The sequence below is a fragment of the Homo sapiens genome, chromosome 2, assembly GCF_000001405.40.
Source record: "Homo sapiens chromosome 2, GRCh38.p14 Primary Assembly".
NCBI classification, from domain to species: Eukaryota; Metazoa; Chordata; class Mammalia; order Primates; family Hominidae; genus Homo; species Homo sapiens.
The window spans coordinates 161,863,332-161,886,419 of NC_000002.12; the positions used below are offsets into that span (position 1 = coordinate 161,863,332).

At 32.9% G+C, this 23,088-nt stretch overlaps 1 protein-coding gene and 1 long non-coding RNA gene across 29 annotated transcripts in view; one reads left to right on the forward strand and one right to left on the reverse strand.

Annotated features, from left to right (window-relative positions):
• The window catches only part of SLC4A10 (solute carrier family 4 member 10), a 360,855-nt gene that overhangs the window by 238,916 nt on the left and 98,851 nt on the right, over window positions 1-23,088 (forward strand). For 10 of the 26 annotated variants that reach the window (NM_001354461.2, NM_001354441.2, NM_001354442.2 and 7 more), the window contains 4 exons: window positions 8,962-9,053; window positions 10,585-10,674; window positions 15,800-15,957; window positions 19,026-19,113. In NM_001354461.2, coding sequence (NP_001341390.1) covers window positions 8,962-9,053; window positions 10,585-10,674; window positions 15,800-15,957; window positions 19,026-19,113 — 428 coding nt within the window. The remainder of the gene's footprint in view (window positions 1-8,961; window positions 9,054-10,584; window positions 10,675-15,799; window positions 15,958-19,025; window positions 19,114-23,088) is intronic. The other 16 variants (NM_001354447.2, NM_001178016.2, NM_001354445.2 and 13 more) reach the window with 3 other exon arrangements.
• Window positions 20,291-23,088, reverse strand: part of LOC105373722 (uncharacterized) — a 29,568-nt gene continuing 26,770 nt past the window's right edge. For all 3 annotated transcript variants that reach the window (XR_001739758.2, XR_001739757.2, XR_923532.3), the window contains one exon: window positions 20,291-20,473. This is a non-coding gene — a long non-coding RNA (uncharacterized LOC105373722). The remainder of the gene's footprint in view (window positions 20,474-23,088) is intronic.

The following is a 23,088-nucleotide window of genomic DNA, read 5'->3' on the forward strand; positions in this document are numbered from 1 at the left end:
AAACATAAACAGAGCATCTGTGGCATACCAAATAAGGTCCTAGTCTCTGTCCTGTAGCTTAAAAATGTAATGCAGGGCTTTGACTTACGCCATAGATGGTCTTTTAGTTTAAAGGAATCATGATCATCATCTAGTGTTTGTGGAAAAAAGATATTGGTTTCATGTTGCTCATAGTCAACAAATTCCATTAGAGAAAATGATTGAAAAGACCAGCCAGTGCATTGTTTGTGGCTTTACATACATTATGGCTGATTCCGGTTCAAGGGCTCATTGCTGTTTGTAATGCAGCATCTTCAACATCCATGGAGCCACCCCACTTACTATCTTCATAAACCAACATAGATGACCACCATTGTTTCCTAGCAATCAACTTACTATGATTTATGCTTCAGACTATTTTGTCTTTCCTGTATTTTTTGTTCTCTCCTTGCGTTTATTTAACCCCTCATCATTTGCAATAAGGAAGTTGCTTAGGAATCTCCTGTTATCATCCATCCTTTCTATTAGTCTCATGAGAGAAAATGAAGTTACCATGAAGATGATATGAATTTGTTAAACTTCTGTAGGCTTTAAAAGTTTCCAGTTCTAGGCCGGGCGCAGTGGCTCACTCCTGTAATCCCAGCACTTTGGGAGGCCGAGGCGGGCGGATCAAGAGGTCAGGAGATCGTGACCATCCTGGCTAACACGGTGAAACCCCGTCTCTACTAAAAATACAGAAAAATTAGCCGGGCGTGGTAGTGGGTGCCTGTAGTCCCAGCTACTCGGGAGACTGAGGCAGGAGAATGGTGTGAACCTGGGTGGCGGAGATTGCAGTGAGCCGAGATCGCGCCACTGCACTCCAGCCTGGGCTACACAGCTAGACTCTGTCTCAAAAAAAAAAAGTTTCCAGTTCTAAAAGATAAAAATTAATGAAAAGTATTTTCAAATGCTTTACTGGAAAGACTGATTTCCACGAATGGATGAAAGCACATGTAATGACAGCGTGAAATATCATGTAATCTCACCCTTATTTTCAAAAGCTTCAGAGATGCCTTAAATAAAATGTATGAAAATTAGTTTTCTTCAGATTTGCTTCATATTAATCAGTTTTCATGCTACTGTATCAAATATACATAAAAATATAGGGTAAATGCTTTATTAAATAGATAAAGATGATTAGATGTAATTTTGTCTCAGAATGTAGAACCAGTTCTTAATGACAAAATCATTTTTGAGATAGTTGATTTTTAGGGCTTTTCAATGACTGAATATAAGTCATTTTTGTTACATACAAGAGTCTATAGATGTGCACACTTAAGTTCAATAAAATTATTATGAATACTTTATGGTGAATACCAACTTGTGTTTGTAGATTCCACTGAACATTCTGAGGAGATATAACTTGCTTTGAATCAAATCATATATTTAAAACATATTTATATTCTAAATCACAATTTGCTTTAAAATATGTGATACATAAGATAACAAAACTTGAGGCTTTTATATTCTAAGAGATGTATTACAAATGCAGTGCTTTTGTTATGCTTATAATGCTAGTATTTATTTGGTATGGTAGTGTTAAAATAGACTCAGTTATTTACTAATTTTGGCTATGGGATTATGTCTACATGATTCCAAAAACTTTATTAGAATTAACTTCCTAAGAATGCATGCAGATTTTATAAAAATGAACTTTTACCTTCATAACTTTTGCTAGAAATCAGATAAGATATATGTCTTTAAGAAAGAGGTATGTTTCTTCAAAGAGGCAAGGATCTTGCATTTTGAACTAGTTAAAATTTATACCTTAAATTTCATTGGAGATAATGTTTACTATAACAATAATTTCATTGCATTTTTTTTTCAGGCAAGAGACTACAGAATTTATTGGAGCAATGATTTATTGTAATATGCAGATCTAGGCACACTGTTTGTTACTGCTTTAAACTTCTATTAAACATTAGAAGAGATGTTAGAATTATAACTGTGAATCACAAATCTACATATAGTCACAAGGTTTTCTGAGAGCCTGCTTTTTGTCTTATTTAGGAAATGGTTTAGTTTTCCCAAAAATCAGAATCTGAGTGGTTCTAAAGTGATTCTGTCACCATCTGTACAATCAGCCTTTATCTGAACACATACAAATCTTTTCGAGGCATACGTAAGGGCAATAAAAACTTGGAAACATTTCTAATAAGATTCATATACCCAATTAAGTATTGTTGTAGAGTATGCTGTCAGAAGTGGTTTTCTAAGCCTAAGCTTATAACACCTCCTTATGACTCTGTTTTGCTTCCTCACACACTTTGCATAATTATGTGTGTTGAGAATTCTGAAAATATGTATAGACTTCACCAATTTAGAAGTAAATCTCCTACCCAAAAGTGAAAAAAAGTACAAAAGACCTTTACTGCTAAGGTTCTTAATCTACTTATGAACTCTAAAGCCTGACAAACTCTAGATATATAAACAAATTGAAATTAATAGCCGTAAATGTAAATTGGAAATTCTGTTTTAAATATGCAATCAAGATTTAAATTTTTGTGCAATAGTTCAGAGAGATGCAAAAGGATTTCAAAACATCAAAAAAGTAAAGGTAATACTATTAATTTTTAAAAATCTCCTTAGTAAAATCCATTATGCAAAAAGATTGACTTTTTTAAAAAAAAGATTATAGAATAGAAATTAAATAGAGCAAAGATTTTTCCAGAAACTTTAAAACAGAACACATTTTCCTCCCTAAGCATAGTGGTAGAAATAAGTCCCCGTTTCTTGTTTAATGTGCTAAAATTATCTCAAAAACAAATTGAAGCTTATGTAGATAAACCTGAAAGAGTCATATAGAATAAAGTTTATACTTCCTTAATTGACTTGTGTCTTGAGCATGTTACCTTGTTAGTACTCTCCGGGGTTAAACATTCAGACACTGTATTTCAAACGGGGTCTTCCCCATTTTAAAGATTAGATTAATAAAATAGTGCATTTCCTTGCTCTTCTCCTTCCCAAGTCTACCATTCTTTGTCCATTCCTTTTTTAGTGATTTGTGATAATTTGTCAATCTCATCTCTAAACACACTAGTTCACTCGTTTGAATAATTTTTTTCTTCGTATTCCGCATTCTCTTCAGGGCTAATGTGAAGGATGCTATGGATTCACCATGCATTTTTAATGCCACCATGCTGTGTTTAACTTTCACTTTTCATTAAGCATCAAAACTGTGAGAATTAAATGTCTGATTCTGATGTTTCAATAAAAAGTGACAGTTACATTTGGCAAAACAACAGCAAAAATAATAGAAAAATAATATCTACTTTGACATTAGTACCCTGAAAAGGGTATGGGTGGTAAAGCACTCAAAATAAATGTATCGAAAATATTAAAATAATTATTTGAATTAGGAAGATTTTCTAAAACTAAAAATAAAACTTTTAAGGGATCTAGAAGACAAATTTTATCAGTATCTGTATTTATCATTTAGGTCATGTATTCAATTACCTTTTGAGACATTGGGATTATAAATCTATTATAAAATATTATTATCCTTATGATAATTTTTATATTTTTGAAGATAATTTGGGATTATTAGTTTTCTTAAGTATAGGATGTCTTTATTCTGCTCTATCCTTTACTAATAATTTCTAACTCTGTTCGTTTTCCTTCACATATCTTTTGTCTCTCCTAATCTGAATACTTTCCAGTTGTACCTTTTATTTAGGATCTCAAAAGGAGTTACAGTGCAGAAAGTCTCTAACTACTGTTCAACGCCATAAGTTACTGAAAAGCAGTTAGATTTGGGAGCCTGGGACATAAAGTTCACTCTTTAGGCCTGGGTAGATTTCAGCCCTTAAAGCAATGTACACATATGTATTGTGCATAATATTTATTTATGGTTTTGGAAATCAGACCTATTACATTGTAGTTACTTCTTTTACAAATGCTGTACTTTTAATTTTCAGATGCATGCTGTCTTTACGTATTTAGATATATATGCTTTCTTGCTTTTTTAATACAATGGTCTCATAAATAAGATATCCAGGATTTAAAATTTATCCCTCATAATGTTCTACCTTTGAAGAAAAAATAAAGCTAGAATAATAATTCTTGAGATTGCTTGAAAGAAAACTTATTAAAAGATTTGTGTATATTAAATAATTAAACATTGTTTAATAAATATGATATTTTCCACCGCTCCAAGAAAATCAAGATGACATTGTTGACACAACTGATGGGCCTGCCCAGAGGCTATATTGTCATTACAGTTTTGGAATGTCAAGACTAGATTTTAAGAGCAAACATAATTCTAGTATGAAGTGTTTGAATTTGTTATTTCTTATATTGCATTAATTATTTTCAGGCATACTAATTTTTCTCCGAGTTTAATTGTTTGCATACTTCTCATGTTTTTGAAGTGTAGCTCACCTAATCAGCATTTTCTAAATATTTAGCCCTTCTTTCTTCATGTTTTCTATTCCCATGAATAAATGTATTGTTACACATGTATGTAACTTTGTCATTCATCTTTATATTTCTTTATTTTGCTCTGTCTTGTGTCTGTCTCTAACAGGCTCATCTCATCTCTGTACCTCCCTCATCTCCTACCCTTTGGGTACTCTAAATGCGTTGAAGGTTTCTGAGGTAGTGTAAACCAGCTTGGTCTCTAGGTTAATAGTAATGTACCTCCATGTCTTCATCCCAGTTTCCTTCTAGTGCACGTGATTTACAGTGGATTAAGCAGTAGAAAATAATGATACATTTATGCAATATATTCTATTGATACGAATTTGGCCAACTATAAATTTAAAAGTTGCTAAGCTGCTGTTTTATAATACATATGTGCATACTTAAAGAAGAAGAGAACTATAGCTAAAGACAAATGAGTTAATATAATACTCAACAGGGTTTTTGAGAATATACCTTTTTTTCCAATAATGAAGTGTTTTAAAATACTGCTATTAATTAAAGTCATGAAATAGTACTTTTGATGTAATCTCATGTTCCTTCCTTTATGATAAAGAAACTGTATGATAAAGAAAATGACTTTACCAGTCTCACAATACACTTAGTGAAAAATTTATGGTGTAACAAGCAGAAAAACAGCTTCATTTTTCTAGTTAGTATTTACTCAAAATACTCTCAGTTTTCTCCTATGCTAGCCCCATATCTATTATAATTTGCCCTAGAAAAATTCATGGTCTATAATAACTTTTTATCTGACACATATGATCCCTACATGAAGACTCAAAGAAAAAAAAATGAATTTGTAACTCAAAGAAAAGTAATTCAAACAGGTGCTAATATGAATACTATATAATATATATCTTAATTGGTAAGATATCAAACAAATATTAGAAATTTTGATTTAAGGTGAAGAACTGTTGAGCTTAACAAGTCATAAAAATGTATTTAGTAAATAGCAGAGGAGATATTAGGTTTCTCAAATGTTTCCATTTACGTTTAAATAGTCACAGATACCAGTTAACCTTAGTGATATCTACTTTTCATCAGTTTTTTAATAACTTACCATGAATATAATAGATTACTCAATGTCTTTTTTTCATAGTCATCCTCATGCCTCAAAATTTTCTAGGTATTATAAAAACAGAAATAATTGAACATTGCAATGACATTCATTTATAGGAAATAATATGGGTAGTGATCAGTGGACAAAGGTAATATAAAGAAACAGGTAAAAAGCATTTGTTTGTAAGTACTGTGGTATAGCACTTTAAAAAAATTACAGTATACAATTAGCATTCATAAAGCTTCCACACATATATGAGTGCTAAATCCTAAACTTATACTAATTTTTTTCCGTGAGGGAAAAATATCCTAGCAAATTCTTTGTTATTCTATTAGGAAAATTTTTACTTCTGGCTGAAGGTAAAATTCTGTACCTGAAAATTGCCATTCTGTGAACCATTATTGCCTTAGACATCAGCAAGAAAATAAGAGATGCCCTTCCAAAATCTGAATTTATTGATTCTTCTTATGTAATAGTATTTCAGTTAATGAAATTAATTTTGAAATTTAATCCATCATCTTCTTTTGAAAGATGGTAATAATTGGCATAAACTAAATAATTGGCATAGAGAAAAATATATTTAAACAATGATTACAATTGATAATAGAACTATAAAATCATTTTTAATTTATGAGGTTTCAATTAGTTCTATATACTATAATTCATGCTTGAATATTGGTTTTATATATACAGCAAATAAAATGTTAAGCTTTTTAAAAGACTTCTATTTTTTCAAAATAACCCAAATCAAACTTGTTAGCTTAATTTTTAAATAGTATCTATACATCGTTCTATATACTACCAAGTTGTGAAAACTGCCTTGAGGATATACACATTTAATGTACATTGTTTCAACTTTAACAAATTAACTTACATTTTTAGAAATAATAGACAAGAAATAACAAGATTTGAAGTGCTACTTAAACTTCGCAGGACTTTTGATGTGATTAAATATATTTAATTATGAATATTAACGCCTATCATTTAACTACTGCTCTGAAATATAAACGATATACAATTTGTGGTCTTTATGTCTATGTCATAGGCTAGTAGTTTTTATGGCTTTTTATATTAGCATACATTCTATACACATACCTAGAATCTAGGACTAGCAAGAAGTTTACTGTCATCTGATGTGTCTGCTGCTAGTTAAACTCTCAACTAGGTCATTATCAACATCACTTAAAATATTTATAAAAATAGTTTCTAAATCCCTTCTTCATTATCAACCTTATAAAGTAATATTTTCTAAAATTGTTCTTGTTTTAGAACAAGAATAGCATACAACAATCTCAAAATATATTATTATAATTATTACATAAAATATTAATTATTAATTACTGTAATTATTTACAAGGAGAAATACAAGTATTAATATTTTAAACATACTACCTGAGCTGAAGGTAATTTATGAAATGCTCTGCTTAAAGTATACAAATGAAAACATAAGGTATTCAATTTCTTCAAATGTTAAGTTCCGCATATTTTCTATCCAATTCAAAATTTAATCTCTTCAAAGTTAATGACTTTGCACTGGGTTGACTTTTGTTTTGTATGTGTTTGGTGATAGAACTAAATAATTGTTCTTCCATGTAGATTTATACCACACGAAATGAATTATTATAAGAAAGCAGATATGTGTTTATTTAATTTATCCATGACTTGAGTTTCACCACTCAATTTTACAGAACATTCAATAAATTTAGTTTTAAATATATCTAATGTTCTAACTCATTAAAATATGGAGAAATGATGTGAAACTGGTGATTGAAGACATCTGTTGGTAGCACAAATGCATTATGTAAAAGATTTTTTTAAAACTACAGTTATTATTTTGAGAATGGTAAATTGAATGGCTGCTAATGAACAGTTCACAGTCATAGCTGCACATTGTGGTTAGAAATGGGAGAATGAGAATAATTTATGTAGCTTGTGTGACATTTATCTGAAGTTTATATATTTCCCTAGAATATGCTATACTCAGAATTTGTGAACATGGTTTGAGGTGAACTTATTTTAAAAAGTCATTTTATTTTCATCTTCTCCAAATATATTCTTTTACATTTTTTAATGAAAGTAGTGAAATCCTTAAGTTCTAGAAGAATATTAAGCCTATTACTTTCTGGCATTATAACAACTTTAAACCATAAAATTACTCCTATTAATAAATGACCCCTGCTTGAGAGGCTTACTAGTCCAAAAAGCAAACTTATAGTAATATTTGAAAGTAAATAATTAGTATTTTTAACCACAGTTGGTAATTTCTAGGTAACAAAGAATAAGTGGGTTTTCAGGAGAGAATTTAAGGGAAAGCGTTTTTGTGGGGTTTTTTTGCATTTACACTGGGAGTTTAGAGAATTTCAGTCAGAGACTGAAGTGATTAGAGATGACACTAAAGGTGAATTTAGAATAAAATTGGGATTTAGGTAGGTAGAGAGAAGAGCCAGACAGAGAGAGTATTTCTAACATCTACAACTGACGTGAATAAAAGCAGTATTTTGAGTCATTGAGTTATTATCATAAATATGAGCAAGGCTTCAGAGTTGAGTTGTCTTTATTCATTTCACAGAAAAAAAAAAGATGGGGAGATGTTTAATTTTCATTGCATTGCTAACTATGAACAAATTTCATATGACTTACTGCAAACAATGTTTCATATTTAGTGAATGATGGAATTTAACCTTTTCTAGCCATTGCCACACTCCCAGAGCTACTATCCACTTAATTCTCATCATCTTCCCTATAATAGGGAAAAGAACTACAAGATAATTTTGTTTTAATTTACTGTTAATGCAAAACTAATACAATTCAAGTTTTTATCTTTTCTCACATCACAGACTAGTACCAGTATGCTTATATAATAGAATAGTCAGAGGCATAAAATCATATCCATAGTGTTCATACTGTGTGAAATAAAGGTATTTCTAACTGAACCCCCTTATATAGAAAACTGTAAGAGTTATGGCCAAAGAAATTTTTTTCATTGGTTTGGCTTTTTAGATGCAATAGAACCTAAAAATATACTGTGTAATTTTCAGATAAATATCCGTCCTTTTTAATGCTTTACATTTTAAATTCTTCAGGCTGAGCTTACATCTTAACAGATGTCTATCTTGTCTTTTTATATACGCCATTAGTTTTGGTTGGAATCTAGAAATCAATGATGCTTCAAAATCCTGGTAACATTTACATATTTTGTAGATAATCCTTATTGAAAATAATCTTTTAGAGTTTTTATCTGAAAATATGTTTATTTTTTACTGAATTCTCCCATTTCTACCTGTTACTGATAATAAGAATGTTTGTATTAATATAGATTTATTTATATTGACCCTTCATTCTTACATCATAAATTTATTAAGAAACCTGTTAGTCTAGTTTAATTGAAGTGCCTATTTCACTCAGTATGTCTACAACTATGTAAGTAATTGTTTGTATTCTGTCACAACAATCTCTTTTAGCAGGTCAGGTTGTTTCTCCTCAGTCTGCTCCAGCCTGTGTTGAAAATAAAAATGATGTTAGCAGAGAAAACAGCACTGTTGACTTTAGCAAGGTGAGCTTTTCTCCCTCTCATCTAAGTAAGTTGCTAAATTACTACTAGAAATTACTACCCATTTTAAGAGGTGTTGACACAATATTTTGCATGCGCTTTTTGTTTCTTGTCAAAGCTTGATATTGTTACAGAAAATGTTAGCATTAAGTCCACATGTAACATTTTGCCTATTCAAAAAAAAAAAAAAAAACTGAACCTGTGAGTTTTATGCATAGTATTCATGTTTCAGCCACTTGGTATAATGTTATCTCTTCCAATAAAAAGAATAACTGGGCTTCACAGGGAATTTAACAGAAGTTTAATCTATTTTTGTTTGTTTGTGTTTGTTGTTCTTTGTTTGTTTGTTTGAGGCAGAGTCTCGCTCTGTCACCCAGGCTGGAATGCAGTGGTGCAATCTTGGCTCACTGCAACCTCCGCCTCCTGGGTTCAAGCAATTCTCAAGCCTCAGCTTCCCGAGTAGCTGGGATTACAGGCGTGCACCACTATGTCTGACTAATTTTTGTATTTTTAGTAGAGACGGGGTTTCACCATCTTGGACAGGCTGGTCTCGAACTCCTGACCTCAGGTGATCCGTCCGCCTCAGCCTCTCAAAGTGCTGGGATTACAGGCGTGAGCCACCCCGCCCGGCCAAGTTTAATCTATTGTTTAAAAACTTTGGCTAGTTTGTGTTCAAAATCACTTTTCTTCTATTTGTGGGAAAGCAAATCATAATATAAAACTGAATTGTTAATGTAATTAAGGAAAAGTCATTACTGTAAGGAAATCCTAGAAGGACACAGCAAAACTGAGCAGAGTTTTAAATAAAAACATATTAAGAACTGACTGTGTTGAGGGATACATCTAATTGGAGACAACTGAAGTGAAATCATTAACTTGAATGTATTCTTAGAAAATGAGTCAGTGACAATGATGTGATTTTGATTAGCAAATTCCTGACATTGTATATGTGCCATTGCAAGCTATGGCAAAGTAACAATTGAGTGGAAAAGAGGAGTTTCTAGCCGGGTGTGGTGGCGCGTGCCTGTGGTTCCAGCCACTTGGGAGGCTGAGGTGGGAGGATTGCTTGAGCCTAGGAGGCAGAGATTGCAGTGAGCTGAGGTCGTGTCACTGCACTCCAGCCTGGGTGACAGAGTGAGACCACATCTCAAAAAAAAAAAAAAAAAAAAAAAAAAGACAATGCAAAAGAGAAGGAGTTTGAATACTTGGTGAAAATACGGCAGGTTAACAATTCTCTTTATCTGAGTGGCTGAAATAGAAGTAACTCAGAGTAATATTTTAATAAAGCCCTTAGCACTGGCAATAATTATAGTAGTGGGAGGAGGTGGGAATGGATGGAAGCAGTAGAGGAAGTAGCCTGAATCAAGGTTCTGAAAAGATTAATAGTGATCAGCTCCTTGGACCTGTTTCAGAATCCCTCTGACAATGCCTAAATAATCTAGATCTAGTTACGTGCATGCTCTCCCTCTGGTGCCTGGCGGAGTCTCCGTGGGAGCATGGTGTACCAGCTTAAGTCTGTTAATTATGCGTGCAGGGACTGGGAGGCCAACAAAAGGGGCATACTAGTCCATGTGGGATGAAACAAAGGCATGAAAAAGGACCTCCACACCAGCAAGAGAGAGAGGTGAGGGCATACTCGGGCTCTATTTCTACAGTGGTTCAAAGCTCATTTCACTGTATGGAGGCATGTGATTCAAACATTAAGCCAGTTGAAATGTATTCCATCTGCCACTCTAAGAACTATCTTTTTAAAGCATTGCATCTTCATTCATCTGCAAGTTGGAAAAAGTTGTCACAAACTGCCATACATTTAATTTCTGATATTCTTAATTTGAAATGATCTTAAAAGCAATAATGTAACGAGCTGCATATTTATGTATAAATGCATTAACAACATAAAGAAGGCATATTTAACATCCTCAGAAACAATCATTATAAAGCACATAGCTCCTCCTTTCAAATAAATTGTGATTTAACTTTTTAAAAATAATATAACCTTTATACACTGATTGTGTATCTCCATATCATGTTGCTTTTGGTTGTGTGACCTGCCTTTGCAGCCTTCAAGAATACTTCATCACATATGAAAGAAAATGAAGATTGCCAGTTGTAGGCAGTAGTCTCATCTTCTGGTCCCCCCTCAAACAGTTAAAACTATGGAAGAGTCAAACTTCGATTTCCTTTCTTTTAATCCTTTTCTTTCTCTTCACATTTGCGATCACTGGCCCGTTTCATCTTTTAATAGGCAAGTTAAATTTCTAGAGCCCTCTACTTAGTGTCAGCTGTTGTTCATAGCATGGCACACTGGAAAGTCTCTTGTTCATAGCATGGCACACTGGAAAGAATGTGGCTTTTGAGAAACAGCATGAGATCTTGAATCCCAACTCTGGCATTATAAACTAGCTGATCTTGGAGAAGTTCTCTAAAGTTCAGCCTTCTCATTTGCAAAGTAAGAAAACTATTTACAATTTCGTTGTGAAGATTTAATGAGCTAATATAGAGGGAGGTGCTGGAACAGTGCTTGACTTGTAGCAGGTATTTAATAAAAGGTGGTTACACTTATTAGTGTGGTTATTAGTAGTAGTAGAGATAATAGTGTCAGAAATGAAACACCAGACCATAATTGAATGTTTTGGTCTCCACTGGGTCTTTAGTGCCTTGAATAGTATTTGGTATATATTTGTTGAATGAATCCTTCAAGATTCAAAATAATGTAAGCCCAGTTTTGGAATTTAAAAAAGACTAAGTAAGATTTTTTACTTTAAAGTCTGAGAGGGCAGAAAAGTAGAGTTTGAAAAGAGCAATTGTGATCTATCACTATGGAAACAAATTTTAGTGCCAGATTTTGCAGGTGCATGAGTTGATATTTTTTAGCCTTATGATTTTAGTTTAGTAGTGAATTTATCAGAATTCACCTAGTCTCCAGGTTAGTTCTCTGTTTTAATATTTTAAGTCTTAATATACAGATTCCAAAACCCCAGAATCTTAATATGCAGATTCCAAACATTTTGAGGTGTTAAGAAAAAAAAGGTCTTTATTCATCTTATATGATTTGATCATATTTATTCCATCTACATTCAACCTACATATTTGTAACCCTTCCAGTGGATAGACGTATCAAACTTACTTAAGGAATGATTAGGAAAATAACTGGAATTATCAGGTTTTAGCTTCCCATAATACTTTTAAAAAGCAGATGTGTCAAAGCAATATTTGTTTTTGTTTTTCAAGCTGACAGTGGAACGTAGGTATTTTATGTTGGTGGTGTTTTCTTTTACTTCAAATGACCCAGAGATGGCTTCACATAATTTTCTACATAGAAAGAACTTCCGTCTGCATCTAGCTTTAGTGTATGAAACATATTAGAGAGAGTTGTATTATTTAATCCTAGAACTGTAGGAAACCTTAGACATCTCCTCATTTAGTCAGCAAGAAAGCTGAATTATAGAGTGATTAAGAGAGCTGCTCAAGATCACTGGCGAGTTAGTGTCAAGACACCATTTCTTCCCAGAGAATCCCTATGAAGTTTCTTGTACTTTCTATAAGGGGCTGAAGGCTTAAATTTTCTCCTTAAATTTCCATCTGTTTTTCCTTTAACTCTTAGCGTGTAGTTTGCCCAGACACTTCCAATTTCACCTTGGTCTTCTATCTAATCTCATTCCTTGTTCCCTAGAAATGTAACTGTTTCTCATCCACAGATTAAGTATCAAAGGCCCAGAAAGAAATCTTTCCACTACCAGCATAAAGGTGAGGTCTGGGCAGCCCAGAAGCATGAGTGTAAATACAGACCCAGAAGAGTATAGCTCGATTTCTTCAAGATCCTATTCAGAGGACCAGAAACTTCCAGGATTTCCTTCTTGTCCATTCCAAGTGTTTGTGTTCACTTGACAGTTTTCTTAGGGATGTAGTTCAACCTAGATTCTCTAGAGCTGCTTTACATATTTATAATTTTATAAGAGGTCACATTCAGGTCTTTAAACATAATATTTTATTATATTAAAAGTTGCTTAGGGGGCCAAGGGCATGGTGGCTGACACCTGTAATCCCAGCATTTTGAGAGGCCAAGTCAGGAGGATCACTTGAGCTTAGGAGTTCGAGATCAACCTAGGCAACATGGTAAGACCTCATCTCTACAAAATCTAGAAAAAATCAGCCAGGCATGGTGGCGCACCTGTAGTCCCAGCTACTCAGAAGGCTGAAATGGAAGGATCAGGATGGCTTGAGCCAGGAAGTTCGAGGCTGCAGTGAGCTGGGATCGCACCACTGCACTCCACTCTGGATGACACAAGGAGACCCTGTCTCAAAAACTTAACCAAACCAAAAAAGATAGTTGGTTTGTCAAATAAGTTTCTTCATGAAGTATATAGTACACAAACACAAAATATAGGGTTGCCCCACGAATAATATAATATGTAACTATACATAATATAGAATAATATAATTAGATAATATATAATCGATTACTTCCCAAAGTATATGATTACTCCAAGAATAATGTAATGTAATGAGTATAATACAATGGCTACCCCAGATATGTGCTATAGTACTATAACTTATTCCATTTGAAGTCAAAAGATGAATTTGCTTATCCTGAATTTAAATTCTGTATATTTTAATGTTTTTTCTAAATAACAGGTATCAATGATATATTAGGTATTTTGTAAATTTAAAGATCATATGTAATGACCATATATTTTCTTTTACAAAATTTAACTATTTTAACATACTATGTACTTCTTGATTTAATTAAATTTCATCTTTAAACAGTTATTTCTATAATCACCAGTTGCCCGAGGCACAGACTTTCATAGTTAAGACAATGGCATTTGTCAAGCAATAAATGAGTTTATAGAATTTTCAAGGTGGAATTTAAATTTCAGGTATTATCAATATAATTCATATTATCAATTATGGATTTTAAAAAAAGATGTTTTCTCATTTTAAATTTTGTTCAGTATATTTATATTGTATCATTGTTCTTTCCATTGAGAGAGAAAACTTAACTGTTTATTCTTTTAGTAACAGAAAGGATTATGAGATTTATTATGTTTTCCTCACAGAGCTGATAGTATATGGGAAATCTTCTATTCCCTCCTTGGGAATTTTGGCATTACAATAAAAATGTAAAGCATTACTAATTTAAAGCATCTTAAATGTGTACATTTCTCCTAACTAGATAAATACCTACAAAAATACCACAATAAATCCCATGAAATTTAACCTTACTTATTATAGTAAATAAATACTTTTGCTATCTATAAACTAAAAGATCAGATTCCACAAAAGCAAAATATTTGCTATATAATCCAGTGTACATTAATTATGAATTTACAAATTTATATTTGGAGTACATTTGTAGCTTAAAAATTTTGGATGTATAATATTTGTTAGATATTTTTATAGGCAGTTTTGCTTTGTTAAATCATTCTTCCTTTCCTTTAAAATAAAATAATGATTCTATTTAATATTTTTGATGGAGTACTGTAGGATATTTTTATATTTAATCCTTGTGAAAGAACATATGCTTCCTATACTAGGTTATATATTTTGTGGTATCCTTATTCTTTGGAAAGATTAATTAGTTACAAAACTTACAAATAGCTGTACTATCATCTTGATTTCAGAAAGCAACATATTTAATGTAGTCACTAAGTATTACTATGGATTTTTTCATTTTAAATTTTTGAGAAAAATATTCTCAAATCATTAAACCTGCAAAAGAACTATCTAGGCTAAAAAAAATCTTCTCAGCCCCACTCATATTTGCCAGAGCTCATTCCTCTCTCGGCTATTCTCACTTTGATCTTTGGCCCTCATTTCATTAACATCAGAGCATAAGATCAATTACTAGAGCAGATAAATTCTTACTCCCCTAAAAACAGAGTTTCATAAAAAGCTACTCAAGTGAATTAGAAACAAGACATAGATCTTGTACAATTTACATTAAAGTCACTGCTTGTCTTTCACTGAGGCCCTATGCATAAAAATTGATATTTATTGTTAAGGATATTTTGCATTCATTTTTTAGACTTCACCCTTTATTCTTAGCATTTCTTCTCGTTAATGATCACTTTTGCTTTGTGTACATTCATTTCGATCACAAACATCTCATGTCAGAAATTCAACTATAGCTCTTCAGTAACTCCAAATGTTAATATTTTTTTCTTATTTTTTTCTACTGTGTCATATCTAAATTCTCAGATGAAAAACCAATATTGAAGAATTACCAGGCCAAGTATATAATGTGAAGAATATAGAACAACTAGAAAAGAGAAGAAGGTTAAAGTCATAATTTATACTGTAAAGAGAAACAGGATTATATTTCTTTTGACATAAGCATATTTGAGTATCAATTAAAATGTATTATGTACAAAAATTAGGTAATGTAGTATAAAATATTAAATCTGTTGGCAAATGCTAATTAAATTATGGTTAAAGAATAGTTATTTAACTGAACTCACATACTTTTCCCTGTCTAAAATTTCAAGATTGTTGAGGCTGGAGAAACTTCTTTTAAAAATAATAAATAGAAGTACCAGAGTACTCAGCTTATTGATGACAAGTTAAAATAATCCACAAGTAAAGAAAAAAGGTTATTATAGAAAAAGGGCAAATGAGATGTTTAACTGTGTGTATTTATTTAAACTATATTTATTCATGGATTACTATATGTGAAGCACTGTGCAAGAATATGATTTACCAGATTTTTCCAATTTTGATTTATCATATTTACCTGGTGATGCTTGCAGGTTGATCTGCATTTTATGAAAAAGATTCCTCCAGGTGCTGAAGCATCGAACATCTTAGTGGGAGAACTGGAGTTCTTGGATCGAACAGTAGTTGCGTTTGTCAGGTTGTCTCCAGCTGTATTGCTTCAAGGACTGGCTGAAGTCCCAATCCCAACCAGGTAAAAAGTATAAAAGCGTCTTTTGTATTTTTCTTAAACCATCTTTTCATGGAAAGAAAATGAGGATTCAATGTAATTTTCTGTTAGAGTTTTGACTAGAAACTAATGTGAAATCCACAAAACTACTATTAATTTTTGTTTGTGGAGGAGGGGAAAAGTGCTTTAAAAATTATTCTCTTCTTTCCTCCCTTCTCTCAAACTTCTGCTTCATTTTAGGCACATTCCTCATCTCAAGGTACCCTGAAGCCATATGAATCCTTTTTTTTTTTTTTTTTTTTACATTTTTGGTAAAAGAAGTGGTAACATGTTAGCTTTTTCTCAAAGATTGCATTAAATTGTCTGCTATAGAAAGAAAGGATCCTGTGCATGAGTGCGGTCAAACTCAAAAACAGCAAAGTTACTAAGGTTTGCTTACACTTGAATAAGAAGGCCTTCAAAATGCATGTAAGTGCCATCGTTAGGATAGCGTCAAATATATGTTTCAATCCTAGGCACAGTGGGCTTCCGACACACAGGGTCTGTAGAAACACTGGTAGAAGTATTATCGCAGTGTGGTTGGATGTGAGTTAAAGGTACAAATTTAATTTGATGATCAGAACTTGTTTCTCATTTAACAATAAAATAACAACTTAGGGATAATACAAACTGAATTATGCTTTTCTCATTTTTTAGAATAAGGCTATCCATTACTAAAACTGTAAAAAAAAGAAAAAGATAAAAAAAAGAAAGGAAACACAGAATATTGACTTTAGCACATTAATTTCCAAGCAATTTACCCAGGAACCTTGTTTTCTTCCATACTTCTACCATCAGTGTGATTCCAAAATGCAGATAGCCTTTTACTCTAGTCCTATTCCCACAGCAAAACATGTATATTTAGGGCCCCGTTCCCATATGGCTGGTGCCCTTTGTTTGATGCTACAGCTATCTCAAAAGCTGTTAGTGCGCCTCCTCTTCCAAACATTGAATACCTTAGCCAAGTTACTTGATGAAAAGTTCAGGTACTGTATCAACTGTAGAATATATGTCCTCTATGAATCTTTGGCCTTAACTCAAAATATAGCAGATTATATAACTCCATGCTTTGATTATGGATAAAATATTCTACAACTATGGAACAGCACAGCCAGGAGAGGCCTCATTTTTTAAGAGCTCAGCTGACTGGAACGGGATTCAGTGGTTAAGTACCTATGTCTGACTATGGTTTGGGGGAGGAATCTAGTTACTGTTCAGATTATAGAAAGAAGTCTATGTTTATCCTGTTTGAGAGTTACTGAGATGACTGATACACATCAACTTTTATGTACAAAGGGAAAGGATGAACTGAGCACATTAAAGTGGCATCTGACTGTGTGATTCAGGCTATATGTTTTCTATGGACAACCTGTAACCTATTCAAGGTTTCTGGGAGTCTGGGATTTATATCTAAGATGTTAAACTTGCTAATGGTAGAGTTACTATTATAGCAGTTTAAAATTTCTTTTCAGTCCTCCAAGCAGTGCATTTGTGTTCCACCACTTAGGAAGGTGTCTGGTGAACTATGAGCAAATGATGGCTATTTACGACAATGATAGTGCTTGTATTTCAAAAGAAGGAAAAGAAAAATTCCCATGAGTAGAAAAAAGCCGTGATGGGGTTATATACCCTTACTGTGAAAACTGTCAGGTTTAAGTGACCTTATTTCATACTGAGATAGCAAAATATGTGTAGAGAACAACGGAGAAAAAAATTAGGGCCACTGTAGAGCAACTGTATGAGAAAAGATTTAAAGACAAGACTATTTAGTTAGGAAAGGTGAAAAATGGAAGATTAGTTGGACAAACAAAATAAAGAAAGCCATTCAGGGTTTCTTATTATCCTTTTTTTGGGAAGACAAAAGGCATCCTATTAATACGATGGCAACACATAGTAGAAAGGTCAGAAAATAATCTTTTAGATCTTTAAAAATAGCCCATGGAATGGAAACCTGAAAAATAGCAAGATGTACATAGGTTAGGAAGTTTCTTAAAAAGCTATTATAGTTGATAAAGCACCTGCTACCGAATTAAACCATTCCTGTTTTTAATGTATACTGGACATTTCTACATAGTAGAAATTGGCTTGGGTTCAGTTGTCACTGGCACACACAAAAAATATTGTCATATCCTCTACAATTGTGTAATATTTGCCTCATGTAAAAACATGTACAATCTCTAAAGATTACAACTAAATGAGGAGTAGAATTATAGTAACTATTTTAGTACACCTTGTGAAGTCATTAGTCTTCATACTTAACAGCATAAACCATTTAACAAATTAACACCACAGAATGATATGGCAGAATATAGGGCATTCTTTAATTTTCAAAATTTCCCAGAAGGATTGACCTTCTCAGAGACAGGGCAATTACCAGTCTGCTAAAGTTAGAGTATCTATTGATTTCTTTAAAAGCACCACTTGTGATGATGAATTTGCCAAATGTTCGACCTAATATAGATGGAATATTATAGTGCAGATGCTATTTTTATTCCTCAGCATTATAAATAATAGATCATTAACTCCCCATTTTCTTCTACGTGGCTGATCTTTGATTCCTGACAATAATTTTTTATAATGAAAATTGCACATACACCTACTGTTTTTTGACTCTATATTTTCTCTGTTTTGCTACTGTGTTACCTTTGTCCCCTTTGAACTATTCGCCATTTTGCATACAAGTGAGTTTTCTTCCTTCCAATTTAGAAAGGTCTAATCAGATTTTACTTTTCCCACTTTCCTTCTCTAAGGATCATAGAATCCTTAAAATTCCCAATAACAACTGCACATGCTGTACAGATAACTAAACGGAGAAACACTGTGATAAAAAAAAAAAACACGGAAAACCATGCATTCCCATTGCTTGAGGATCTTAAGCATAAGGGTCAATCATGGTAAAATTTTTCAAAATAATAATGAACTATGAAAAACTATGGAAGTATTTGCCATCACAATCTCCATTTTCAGTAATTCCTTTGAGATGAGTGATTCTGTATTACTAAAATTATTTTTATATTTCTACCTTAAAACATTTTTTTTCTTCTTAATTACAGATTTTTGTTCATTCTTCTGGGACCCCTGGGAAAGGGTCAACAGTACCATGAGATTGGCAGATCAATTGCAACCCTAATGACAGATGAGGTATTTATTCAAGTTCTTTGGGAACATTTTCCCCCATTAGGTATACCTAAAACTTTTGGAGGTCCTCTTTTCATGACAGTTTGTTGTGAATCAGATTTCTCTGTATTGAATCCCATTCTCCCATGCTTCTGCTATAAAATCTCCTTTAGAAAAATGTTTCCCAAAGGGATAATAAATTAACACCCATGAATATAATATTTTAAAACTTCATAGTGTAAAGAAATTTTTTCAGTGACACTTAGAATATATTATTAATATTCCCTTTATGGTATATGTGCTACCAAAGTAAGCACCATTGTTAATATCAATGGAAATCTTGTTTTGAGTAAAGAATTTCGAAGTCTAAAGAAAAAACAATAGCAGTTTATCTGAATAGTATACATGACACCAAAATGCATGCAACATCTATCAACTCTCTACAGTTGCCTGAATGTAGATATTTTTAACCTGGGAGTCTGGGGACTATTAGAGAAGCTGTAGATAGATTTCAAGGAGCTTGTGATTTCTGTAACAGAGCATGTAAATTTTTCTATGTAAAAAATTTGTATGTAGATTTTTTGGGACTGGAAAAAGCTTTCATCAGCTCTTCAAAGAAGTGTATGTCTCAAAAATATAAGATCTTTAAAGTAAGAACATAAAAAGTAGCATCATACCACTATTTTCCTTTACTTGGGTTCTCCAACACATTATGGAAATTTGTTGTTATTGTTAACGGGAAGAGCAGATGCAGTAGATCACAGAAGGGGCATTAAATCAAAATTCAGTTGTAAATGAACAAATGGGATTATATACTTCTAGATTTCATCTAAATAATTTAATAATGTTTTTATTGAAATACATGGCTGCAGATATTTGAAAATTCTGTAAAAAGAGCCAATTAGTATTGTATATTACTTTTTCTATGTTTACAATAGCTAAAATTTGAACTTGTTTTGGGGGTTAAATATTATAAATTCTTCAATCTGTCCAAATTATGTTTTATAGTGTTATATGAATTAGTTTTTGATATTTATGCACAAGAAAGCAAAAGCAAGAAGAAAAACATTTTTTCCCTCAGTTTTCAAAAGGAACCAACTTAATGAGTGTATTAGTTTACAACGACTGCCATAAGAAACTACTACAAATTGGGTGGTTTAAAATGACAGTAGTTTGTTTTCTAACATTTTTGAGGCTAGAAGTTTGAAGTCAAGGTGTCAGCAGGGCCACAATCCCTTCGAAGTCTCTAGGGGAGGATCCTTCCTTGTCTCTTCCATATTCTGGTGGCTCTTGGTCTTCCCTGGCTTGTGGCAATAGACCTTTGTTCTCTGTCTCCATCTTCACATGGCTTTCTCCCAGTTGTCTCTGTGTGTCTTCTTATTTTCTGTTATGAAGACAGACATTTGTCATTTGATTTAGGGCCCATCCTAAATCCATCCAAATCATTGGATTTAGGGCCCATCCTAATTCAGGATAATTTCATCTTGAGATACTTACCTTAATTACATCTGCAAAAATCCTTATTTCAAATAAGGCCACATTCTGCGGCTCCAGGTTGATGTGTATTTTGGGAGGAAATTATTCAATCCACTGTAATGAATAACTTATTCTATTTAGGAAATTTGTGAGAAGACAGGAGGATGAAAAAAATAACTTAATGAGGGCCATACACCTGATTTAGCAGAACTCTCTCTGAGAAAACACTCACAGTATAAAAGCTCTTAGTATTTCTATATTGATTTGTATTGTTATTCTATGATTTAAGTATTATCACTTTCACATACATTTGTTTAATATTTTGTTATATTTCAGACAAAAAATGTTTCCCCATCTAAGAAATTAGGGCAATATTTTAAGATATCTGTGGGGCATGAGACACGTGATAATGTGAGAGGATCCTACTATGTCATGGGAAGTACATGTATATCAATGTATCTCTCTTCTCTTCATCCTCTACTTCCCCAATTGGGAATCAAGATTTTTCTCGACAGAAAGATGTCAGTTCCAAAGTTTTCTTGACTAACCAAGTGGACACAGAACAGGGAAACATCCATGTTCTATAAATTTCAGATTTAGGATGAGAACAGAGAAGGGGCTTCCACCTATTTCTTTGATTAGTGAGAGCTACCTAATTTGAGAATAAGCATCAATCACATAATAAAGACTGAAATTTGAGCATAAGCATCAGTCATCTATTTTTTCAATTATTTAGACTTGAAAGTTTCAGAGCATGGCTTTAGGTAATCATTGTAGATTATGGGATAGAGAAGCAGAAACTCAACCAGAAAGCTACTCTAAAAGATAAGAGCCATTAGTTATAATAGGACATGTTAATTACAACAGGACATTGATTGAATATCAAAGAATGTTTAAATATTTTTTAAAAGAGAAAACAGATTTGTATTTCTCAAAGCCTCGGTGAGGCAATTGTTCTGCTTATCTAATTGCTTTGAAGGCTATTGAATAATTGTACTAGGCCAGGTGTAATGGCTTACATCTGTAATCCCAGCACTTTGGGAGGCCAAGGTGGATGGATCACCTGAAGTCAGGAGTTCGAGATCAGCCTGGCCAACATGGTGAAACCTCGTCTCTACTAAAAATACAAAAATTAGCTGGGTGTGGTGGCAGGTGCCTGTGGTCCCAGCTACTTGAGAGGCTGAGAGGGGAGAATCACTTGAACCTGGGAAGTGGAGATGGCAATGAGCCAAGATTGCATCACTGCACTCCAGCCTGGGTGATGGAGCGAGACTCTGTCTCAAAAATAAATAAATAGATAAATAAATAAGAAAGAAAAAGAAAAAAGAAAAGAACAATTGTACTCATTAAGAATAGAATTTAATATGTTGATTCATAGTTTACTTTGGTTAAAAAAAATAGTGCATTGGAGTGCATTATCAAACATAAATTCCATGAGAACAGTTAGCATTTTAGCATTCAGTATTCGTTTTTATGACCTGATTCTTCCAAGTGCTCAAATAAATATCCATTGAGCTAAGTTCTGTTTTCTTTCCCTTCTCTGTACTTGGAACACTTTCTAGGTAGACTGTCTTCCTTTTGTATTTTTAGACTTATTATGAGTGTCTGACCCTCAGTCAGGGTTCAATAAATCTTTAGAACATGAATCAATTACTGAATATTCTAGACATCATACCAATATTCTATCTTGAATCAAGCCAATAATTTATTTTCTTCATTTCTGTTGAGCTTTGCTAGAGATAAATCATATGATTATGCTTATCAACACTGCTACCAATGTGTTGATCCCTTCACATTCTCAAAAATTACTAAGCACCCCAAAGAACTTTTGTGTATGTAGATATGTTGGTATTTACCATAGGAGAACTTAAAACTGAGAAATTTAAAAAGTATGTGTTAATGAATTCATTTAAAAATAATAATAGAACGGGTTCAGTGGCTCACACCTGTAATCCCAGAACTTTCAGAGCCTAAGGCGAGTGGATCACTTGATGTCACAAGTTTGAGACCAGCCTGGGCAGCATGGTGAAGCCCTGTCTCTACCAAAAAATTCAAAAAAATTTAGCTGCATATAATCCCAGCTGCTCAGCTACTTGGGAGGGTGAGGTGGGCGGATCACTTGAGCCAGGGAGGTGGAGGTTGCAGTGAGCTGAGATGGCACCACTGCACTCCAGCCTGGGCAATAGAGCCAGACCTTGTCTCAAAATAAATACATAAATAACAATAGTAAAGCCATTACATATTAACATAAATAATACATTTTAATGAAAACAAAAACAAACAAAATACTAAGCGAGGTGTTATTTTTCTTTTTCTGGATATTTGAGCTAACAGTTTCCTCTCTCTTCTAGATCTTAAGTGAAACCTGACAGTAAACATGCAGAACACATAGTAGCTACTTGGAAGAAATACACATGAAATGAATGTCCAGATTTACCCCATCCTTAAAAAAAATTATTTACTACTTAGAACAGTATGTACTTTTGAAGCACGTACTTTTAAAGAAGTGTTGGTTCAATCTGA